We start from the raw sequence: 9,896 nt of genomic DNA, 5'->3' as shown, positions 1-9,896 counted from the left end.
TGCGATATACAAATAAAACAAAAACTAAATGCTTGCTCAGATAAATCTTAGGTGTTTCGTGTAAATCTCTGCAATCCCTCCATGAAACCTGGGGGACTCCTAACATCATGCGTGTGAAAATGCCCTGCAAACCGTAGGGTTGTATCCACGTGCGCTACCGCGTGCGCCAGTTTCAAGCATCTGGGTGCTTCCTGAAGGAAATCCATGCATTCCTGACTGCATCTGTTTTCGGGTTATTACATTGTATCGGGGGAAGAGTCACGCGGCTATGGCTATTTTCTATCCGTTCCTGAAGAAGCCTGGGTGCCGAGTTCTCCTCCCCAGAGACCACACCCAGCGCTCAGGGCTGGCCGCAGCGGCTTCCCTGAAAATCAGCCAACTGCAAGGCTTATCGAAATCATCAGGTCGTGTGCTACACATGTGTAAAAAGAGGAAAGCGGACTTTAAATGTGCTGCGGTTGGTGGTAGCAAGCAGGAATTTAGCTTGGTGAGGATCCAGGCAGCTTGAAGCTCCCGGCTGCGGAGCGCGCGGCTGCCTCAGCAAGTCAGTCTCTGTGTTTCCAACTCTTTCTCTGCCCTCCACCACCCACACACTGCAACACGTTAAAGCCATCTGCGGCTTCATTCTCAGTTAAGAAATGTGAAAATCTAGAAACACTAACAGGCGGATTAACTGCTGTAAAGGTTTAAAAATGCTAAACCAATACCTGCAGTAGTGCCGCAGTTTCACGAGTGTGTGTGTGTGTGTGTGTGTGTGTGCGCGCGCGCGCGCGCACTCGCGCGCACATTCCCTATGTGTTAAGCAGCTCATTAAAGAAAAAGAAAAATAATCAGGAGAAAGGAAGATGAATTGCAGAAAGTGCCAGAAAGCTAGAAAGAAATTAAAACTCTTCTCCATACATACTGCATACACATAACCTAGCCTATTTATTTGTATCTAAAATTCCCTAGCCGCACCATCACCGTAAACACCAAGGGAAAAAATTAAGGAGGTTCCTGGTGGGAAAAGGGCGAGTTGGGGGGACAGGGTGTCTGCGAGGTGACGGGATACAGAAAACTAGGGTGTCAAAAGGGAGCAAGAACCTGTTTTGGGGGCAACTTAAGGATCCAAGTGTCACGGGGTCTGGGCAATGCAGGACGGGAGGGGCTGCGTGAGTGAGTACAGAAGGGAAATGAGTGAGGGGGCATGGGATCTCAGAGAAAATCAGGGCCCTCTGAGCAAAGTGGAAAGGACGACCGCCGCAGCTCCTCGGGCCGTAGCTCGACCCCGCCTTCCCTTTTGCGCAGAATCCTCGCCTTGGCTGCAGCAGCGCGCTGCCCCCACTGGCCGGCGTGCCGTGATCGATCGCAGGCTGCGTCAGGAGCCTCCCGGCGTATAAATAGGGGTGGCAGAACGGCGCCGAGCCGCACACAGCCATCCATCCTCCCCCTTCCCTCTCTCCCCTGTCCTCTCTCTCCGGGCTCCCACCGCCGCCGCGGGCCGGGGAGCCACCGGCCGCCACCATGAGTTCCTTCAGCTACGAGCCGTACTACTCGACCTCCTACAAGCGGCGCTACGTGGAGACGCCCCGGGTGCACATCTCCAGCGTGCGCAGCGGCTACAGCACCGCACGCTCAGCTTACTCCAGCTACTCGGCGCCGGTGTCTTCCTCGCTGTCCGTGCGCCGCAGCTACTCCTCCAGCTCTGGATCGTTGATGCCCAGTCTGGAGAACCTCGACCTGAGCCAGGTAGCCGCCATCAGCAACGACCTCAAGTCCATCCGCACGCAGGAGAAGGCGCAGCTCCAGGACCTCAATGACCGCTTCGCCAGCTTCATCGAGCGCGTGCACGAGCTGGAGCAGCAGAACAAGGTCCTGGAAGCCGAGCTGCTGGTGCTGCGCCAGAAGCACTCCGAGCCATCCCGCTTCCGGGCGCTGTACGAGCAGGAGATCCGCGACCTGCGCCTGGCGGCGGAAGATGCCACCAACGAGAAGCAGGCGCTCCAGGGCGAGCGCGAAGGGCTGGAGGAGACCCTGCGCAACCTGCAGGCGCGCTATGAAGAGGAGGTGCTGAGCCGCGAGGACGCCGAGGGCCGGCTGATGGAAGCGCGCAAAGGCGCCGACGAGGCGGCGCTCGCTCGCGCCGAGCTCGAGAAGCGCATCGACAGCTTGATGGACGAAATCTCTTTTCTGAAGAAAGTGCACGAAGAGGAGATCGCCGAACTGCAGGCGCAGATCCAGTACGCGCAGATCTCCGTGGAGATGGACGTGACCAAGCCCGACCTTTCCGCCGCGCTCAAGGACATCCGCGCGCAGTACGAGAAGCTGGCCGCCAAGAACATGCAGAACGCTGAGGAATGGTTCAAGAGCCGCTTCACCGTGCTGACCGAGAGCGCCGCCAAGAACACCGACGCCGTGCGCGCCGCCAAGGACGAGGTGTCCGAGAGCCGTCGTCTGCTCAAGGCCAAGACCCTGGAAATCGAAGCATGCCGGGGCATGAATGAAGCGCTGGAGAAGCAGCTGCAGGAGCTGGAGGACAAGCAGAACGCCGACATCAGCGCTATGCAGGTGCGGCACGGCCAGAAACACAGGGGGGCGGGGGACTCGAGCAAGGGGGGGAGTTGGTGCGCCCAGAAAGTGGAGACCAGGGGTGGTGCGGCTGCACGCAGCTCTTAGGGATAGGGCTTGGCTCCTTGGCCACTGTGTGGGAGGGGTGGGGCACTTGAAGGGCGTGAGTGCGGGCGCCACTGTAGTCTGGGAGTGTGCTCCGTGCTGCTGCACCGGCGTTCCGCATTAAAGCTGCCCAGCCCTTGTTGGGTGGGGGAGGGGAAGACGTGGGAATTGGGCGTTGCCTCCGGCCTGCAGTGAGATCAGCTCTCTACTGACCTGCATTAACCACAAGTTACTTTGCAGCAACTATCGGATCATCTAGTTAATAAATAGTAGAGTGAACAACTCTCAATTAATTCTGAAGGATTACTGTGACCAGCATGCTTTATGACTAGTTTTACCAACCACTCCCTTCCTTTATTTAGTAGGTAGACAGGAAAATAGTCAACATTGTTTTAGGTAGTTAACTAGTGATGTTCATAGTAAACCATTTCCTTTTACCTTTTTTTTTTCTTTTTTTCTTTATGTGTAAAATCTTCTACAACATTTCTGTTTAAACATCTCCATCTTCTGGGGAGTAGAAAAAATACAATTTTAAAAAGATCTCCATTTTAAAACATCTCCATCTTCTGGGGAGTAGAAATTTTTTTCTTCTTCTGGGGAGTAGAAAAAATAATTTAGATACATAGGAAATATTTCATAGAAAATAATTTTTTTCTTTTTTTTGTTTACATCTGGCTATTTTCTTCTCATAAAGAAAGGCATTAGTTTCCTGGCATGTAACCCAGCTAAAGAAGAGTTAATCAGTGAATGAGAGACACAGTTTTTCTATCAACTTAGTCTGTTTGCATGCATTTTATGATGATCATTAAACAGTATTAAGTAAAGAAACAGAAGAACAGAATTTTCGTCCATCTTTTTTTTCATCTCAGGCTTCATGAACTTGGGTATTTTAGGCATGAAGGTTTTTCAAAAGATACAGGAAGTTATTCTAGGAGAGATTTTATCAAAGGTGTGCACCTTGATTTTAATCGAAACTAGGCCTTTGCAACTACACTACAGTAAAATAATAGAAGGGATTTATGCTCGGATTTTTTTTTTGTTTTATTTTTGTCTTCAAACAGGACACGATCAACAAATTAGAAAATGAATTGAGGACCACAAAGAGTGAAATGGCACGATACCTAAAAGAATACCAAGACCTCCTCAACGTGAAGATGGCTTTGGATATTGAGATTGCAGCTTACAGGTGAAAATAGAGGGGCAAAGACAGCAGCCATTAAACCTTAGGAAGAAAATCAGATCCCATTTAAAGTTATGTTGGATCAGAAACCTTCAATAATAGTCCTTTTGAAATAATGAAGTGTTAGTTTTTGGCTTCTTCCAAGAAGAGGGTATTTAGATATATAAGAATTTAACCCTGTAATTAGGAGTCCTGTTTTTATCTTGTCATTACACTTTAAATCTAATAGGATGATTTATTTATATTTTTTCTGGTCTCCATCAAAAGATCCCCAGGCATTAAGTATTGATAAATCCCAGCCCTGCTCCTGCTTGCCTTTGTGTTTAGGGTACTCAGAGCAAGTTGTGAAACACAGGTGTTTTTTAACCTCACCTTGCATCTGCATCCCCAGGAAACTCTTGGAAGGCGAGGAGACCCGACTCAGTTTCACCAGCGTGGGAAGCATAACCAGTGGCTACTCCCAGAGCTCCCAGGTCTTTGGCCGATCTGCCTACGGCGGTTTACAGACCAGCTCCTATCTGATGTCCACCCGCTCCTTCCCGTCCTACTACACCAGCCATGTCCAAGAGGAGCAGATCGAAGTGGAGGAAACCATTGAGGCTGCCAAGGCTGAGGAAGCCAAGGATGAGCCCCCCTCTGAAGGAGAAGCCGAGGAGGAGGAGAAGGACAAGGAAGAGGCCGAGGAAGAGGAGGCAGCTGAAGAGGAAGAAGGTATGATAAGAAAAAACCCCTGCAACTTCAAGTGTAAACTGGGTGTGGAGATTTGTTAGGAGGTGGATAAGACAAATGAAGCCTTGCTCATTTATTCATATATGACATTAGAATCATAAATAAATTTTCTGTTTGTTTAGCAAAACTTTCCTAAGGCATCTACTCTGAATGAGGTGATTGGTCAAAATTTTCATTTTTTAATATAATCATTTAACACAGCAGGTTGGTGTCCTAAAGAACAAAAATAGATACCAGACACATAATGAAAGAAATATTGAGGTTAAGTCTTGGAGAGGAGCAGAGCTTCCCATACCTAGAAGTGATCTCATTCGATTTAAATATGTGTTCAGTGGCAAATTATTCATGGCAAGCTTTGTCTGTTACATGTGCTTTTGGAGAGAGTGGAGCTGGGAGGTTTTGGTAGCATTCTGACAGTTGTGTTTGCAAATAAAACCTTTGCAGACATGTTTTGACTGGACTTACCCTGGATTTGCATTTTGTACATTTTCTTTTTATGTTAAAGCTGCCAAGGAAGAGTCTGAAGAAGCAAAAGAAGAAGAAGAAGGAGGTGAAGGTGAAGAAGGAGAGGAAACCAAAGAAGCTGAAGAGGAGGAGAAGAAAGTTGAAGGTGCTGGGGAGGAACAAGCAGCTAAGAAGAAAGATTGAACCCCCATTTCCTTAATTATTTCAGGAATAATTCTCCCGAAATCAGGTCAACCCCATCACCAACCAACCAACCAGTTGAGTTCCAGATTCTATGTGAATTAAAAAGTCAATATATGTATAATTCTGAGATGACTTAGGTTGGACATTCAATGTTGTGCTATGAATTTCCTCTTTATGCAGAGTATCTGTTTGCTTGCAGAGTGGCTTTCTGGCTTGCTGCCAGCCTGTGCATGGACCACGCTTATGAGTTCAGGATCTACGGCAATGTGAATCATTCAGATGTTTACAATAAAAAACACCACATGAGTAAATGAATTCACTAATGTTAATGTTAAACTTCATGGAAAAATAGTCCTTTGAACCTTCGGTGGTTAGCAATTAAAGACCCTGAGTTATGTGCAATAAATAGTAAATAAAGTTATACCGAATGATGTATTTTTTGCTGTGGTTGTTACTTAATTAAAATACCTTAAAGATGGCACCAATATAAAGTATATACCAGTGGACTATTGACCTCCAATTTTTTAAAAAGTTGAAATTTTAACAATTACCAATACTTTTTTTTCTTCCTTCAATTGGAAATTCTGAGGGATACAGTTATGTCATGATTACTTGTGAAATCTCTCCCCACAAAAATTTTACTGATAATAAACATGAGTAAATGAGAAAGTCTATAAATAACAATAGACTTTGCCTCATAACACGTGTTGTGTTAGGTTTTGGGATGGCTTTCTAGGGAGCAATTCTGAAATTACTTGACAGATACACTCTTTATGGTAAACAGGTCATTTCAGAGTCTAGAGTGCTAACCATTACACTATGGAACCATGATAAATAGGTCATTTCAAACTGATATGTCACAATGCAATATGGATAGAATATGAATCCCATACATTCATCCCTATAACTGCATTTTAAAATATAGTCTAAATATCATGGGAGGAGGTTAAAACCTGAGAACATGGTACAATAAGAAGGAATAATTTTTTATCTATATATAATTTCAGGAGAAGGGATTAAAACTACCAAAGGTTATTTGCCACTCCACTGCAAACATGTTGCCTGCAATCCTGAGCTCATGATTTAGTGTGTTGTTAAGCGTAATTCTGTTGCCTCAAGTAAATACCACTTAATGCTACACATTTTTAAACCTTTAAAAGCTACAGACACAAGTAATGAAATTATGAGTCACTTAAGGGGGGAGGTAATATGCTTGTATGTTACATTGACATTGCTCTGCATGTCTCTACTGGGAGATATTTGGATTTCAATGATAGCTTGACTGGTTGGACATTGCATCAAATACACGCCCCATGTATCCTTTCTGTCGTAAAGTTAAGAACGCTCTTGCATTTGATGTGGAATAAATATAGATGATATTACTATCTGCTATTCTGCCTTTGTTCTGAAACAATTGCTTTGTCAGCTAATTTCATTCAATATTTGTTTTTTAGACGATCTCTATAAGTTATTAATTTAACCTGAAACCAAAGTGGTCTCCATTTAAAGTTACTTAATCCCTTTGTACCACCTATTTCTAGTTAAATATATGTTGCTATGCAAATAGGTAAAGTGCTTCCTTGCCATGATGGTAATGGATTGGAACTATGAAGGCTCTCAGTGTATTGGCTTCTGTAAAGATGAGGCGTCTCCTCAGAAACAAAACTTTTCACATTTCTGCTTACTAGACCTGGGTTGATGTACATGGTAAGTCTCAAACAGATGCAAGCTATGTGCAAAAAGTAACTTTAGCCAAATGGAAATAGCTGGATGCTTTGAGAATTACTTGGTTGAAGTAAGAAAACTGTACCATCCTCTATCCTGTGTGCCATAATAAAATAGTAAAAAACCTAAATTGAGCTTAAAGTCTTTTTTAACATTTCCCCAAATTTGGTACTGTGGTCAGTGCCCCTTTTAACCTGCAGTTCTCTTTCAGTATTCCCTCTCCTAATGAATGATCCCCTCTCTATAATCATCTGATTCCATTAAATGGACTCCTTAAATGACATCCTACCTCCCATTACCTCTCCTCTGCCCCTCTACACTAACCTATCACAGAGTTATAGTGAGAACACCTCCATGTCTTAGATCCTTCCACATCTTTCAATGTCTTAAATCCTTCCACATCTTTCAATTTATACTGCCACCACTCTAACCCTTCTCCCAGGGCCTACTCTTGGTCTCCTTCAATTAGCACCCTACAGCAGGCTAATCTTTTAAAAAGAAAATTTTGATCTTGGCATCTCCCTGAATAGAACCCTCTAATAGTTTCCCACTTTTAATATGAAAACCAAAATCTCAAATGTGATCTTCAAGGCCTGCCTAGTGCTGACTCCTGCCTAGTTCTCTAACCTCATCCCATTGTACAGCCCTTTCCCTCCACTTCCAGCACTCCAGTCACCCTGGTATTCTGTTCTCCCATCTGTCACAGGATTTTTGGTGATTCCTTTTTCTGGAGCACTCATCTTTTCTCTCCTTCCCTCAGCCTTGCCCAGCCGGTTCCTACTGACCCTTCAGATTTAGGCTTAAATGTCATTCTCTAAAGGAAGCCTCCCTTGACCTCTTCTAGTGGGTCAAATTCTTTGAAATATGTACATAAGACTTTGTAGGCTTTTTGATTCTTGCCATTAGCATCTATTTGTGTGATCAGTTGATGAATGTCTGCCTCCCCCATTACAGTGGGATCTTTACAAGTATTAGAATCAGATCTCTGTTGCTCATTAATTTAGCCCCAGTATCCAGCATAGTTCCTGCCATAGTAGAAGCACAGTGGATATTTATTTAATGAGTGACTTTCCCCATCGATTAAAATGCCTTCAAGATGACTGGCAAGTCAAGAGTGTTCAATAATAAGTCCCAGTCTAGTCCATACCTTCTTGTAGAAAGAGCAAAGAACCAAGAATCAAGAGTCCATCCTGGGTCCTAGCTTTGCACTATTATGGAACATTGGCCATTCCTGCCCAACCTCAATTTGCTTATCTACACAAGGGTTCAGTGGTGGACATTTCAGATCCATTCTAGATTCATAATTCAAAATCTCCTGAAATACCCTTACTGCTTTATTTTAGAAGTCCAGGCTAAATGGCTGAATGGAAAACACACATATGATACTCATGTCCTCACTAAAAATCCACCCCCTAAAGGGAATTGCTAAACTTAGTGTGAAGTTTCATTGCTAGCAATTTAACTGCTCAAATTGGTAAGCAATTAAATTCGTCACTTTTTTACCCATATGGAGATTCCAGTGCTGTTGGAGGGGGTTACTATGTCCCATGATGCTGTTCTAAGTACATTTTCTGCATTAACTCATTTCCTTACATGCAACAACATTCTGAGTCCACTATGATTATCATTCCCTATGTTATTATTATTTTAAAAGTTATTTGTATTTTTTAAAAATAGTGACAGGGCCTCACTACATTGCCCAGGTTGGTCTTGAACTCCTGGGTTCAGGTGATCTGCCTACCTTGGCCTCCTGAACTGCTGGGATTACGGGTGTGAGCCACTGCGAGCAGCCTATAATCCCCATTTTACAGATAAGAAACTAAGGTTAAGTGAGTCGACGAAGGTCATGTAGCTGGTTGGTGGCAGGGCTGAGACTCAGACTCACCCACCTCACTGCATCTCCTTTGTGGTCCAGCTTATAAGGTACACTTGTGGCATCAGAGTATGTTTCCACAGGCATGTTTTGTGACAGTGGTTGGGGAGTTCACACAATAGTCAGAATCCTTACAAGGCAGTCGTGTACCGTTCAAGAGCCACATATACACTCACAGTGTTCCACTGCAGTTAGGATCAAGGTTTTCTTTCACCCCTTTGATGACTTATGTCCATATCTTAGTTCCTCTGCTAATAGAAGCTTTCAGAAGGCAGGAGTCAAGTCTTATAAGCAGAGATGAGTTTGACATTTACCTTCAAGGATCACCAGCATTCAAGATGCTGGTTCTCATGATGTTATTCTTCTATCTGGATACTATTTTCTAGTTCTGTTGACATTTTAGTAGTCCTCAAGTTTTTCTTCTCCTTCTTTTCCTCCCTTCACTGTTTGCCCTTCTTTTTTTTTTTTTTTTTTTGTCTTCTTCTTCCTTTTCCTCTTCCTTCTTCTTGCAAGTCTTCTTACTGCAAGCAATTTCAAATCATTTTGGGAGGGGAGAGGAATAAAGATTGACTGAATAAATAAATAAATGTCCTTGTTTCCCTTCACAACACCCGACAAAGCATGTTGGGTTGAGTGGGCATATGTTTCTGGAATGGCAAAGCTTTAATACTTGTGAGAAGTTTCCATAAACATGAACAGCATAGAGAATTTCTTCTTTCTCTTTTGGGGACAGAGTGAGATGTCAGAACTTGTTCAGCCGTGATTCATTTGCAAGGGGCTCCCGGTGGAGAATTCAGAATATTTATTTCTTAGGAAAATGTCCAGCAGAGTGAAGTGCAGTGAGTTATACAAGCTAGGCAGTGAGGACCATTTCTAGTTTAAGGTCTTCTAGAAAATTCCCAGTGAAGAGTCTTAAATAAGAACTAGAGTGTCAAAAGATAAGGCAACGTGAGAAGAAAAAAAAAACCCTTAGCAGCCCCAGAAAGTAACTATAGTTTTTTAAACCAATCTTTTAATTCTACTTCAACATAGGTAATTATTTGCGTATGAGGATTTAAAAAATAATATAACAATGGTATTAAAAACAAA

The 9,896-nt window shown here is 43.9% G+C and overlaps 1 protein-coding gene and 1 non-coding gene across 2 annotated transcripts, besides 1 other annotated feature; both read left to right on the top strand.

Annotated features, from left to right (window-relative positions):
* NEFL (neurofilament light chain) lies at window positions 1,407-7,064 on the top strand. The gene is made up of 4 exons (NM_006158.5): window positions 1,407-2,547; window positions 3,714-3,838; window positions 4,224-4,543; window positions 5,067-7,064. The coding sequence occupies exons 1-4, from the start codon at window positions 1,504-1,506 to the stop codon at window positions 5,207-5,209; spliced, it is 1,632 nt and encodes a 543-aa protein (NP_006149.2). The 5' UTR covers window positions 1,407-1,503; the 3' UTR covers window positions 5,210-7,064.
* Window positions 2,657-3,856: an enhancer, noted in NCBI's record as "BRD4-independent group 4 enhancer chr8:24811677-24812876 (GRCh37/hg19 assembly coordinates)". NCBI's record gives its function as "activates an origin of replication core promoter dependent on BRD2, P300/CBP, MED14 and CDK7 cofactors, and independent of BRD4, by STARR-seq in HCT116 cells {active_cell/tissue: HCT116}" and the evidence as "EXISTENCE:reporter gene assay evidence [ECO:0000049][PMID:35650434]".
* On the top strand, window positions 4,152-4,223 carry MIR6841 (microRNA 6841). The gene has a single exon (NR_106900.1). It is a non-coding gene; the product is annotated as a microRNA 6841 (primary transcript).

Source organism: Homo sapiens, chromosome 8 (assembly GCF_000001405.40).
Source record: "Homo sapiens chromosome 8, GRCh38.p14 Primary Assembly".
In the NCBI taxonomy this organism is placed as follows: domain Eukaryota; kingdom Metazoa; phylum Chordata; class Mammalia; order Primates; family Hominidae; genus Homo; species Homo sapiens.
This window is presented reverse-complemented; position numbering and strand designations above follow the sequence as displayed.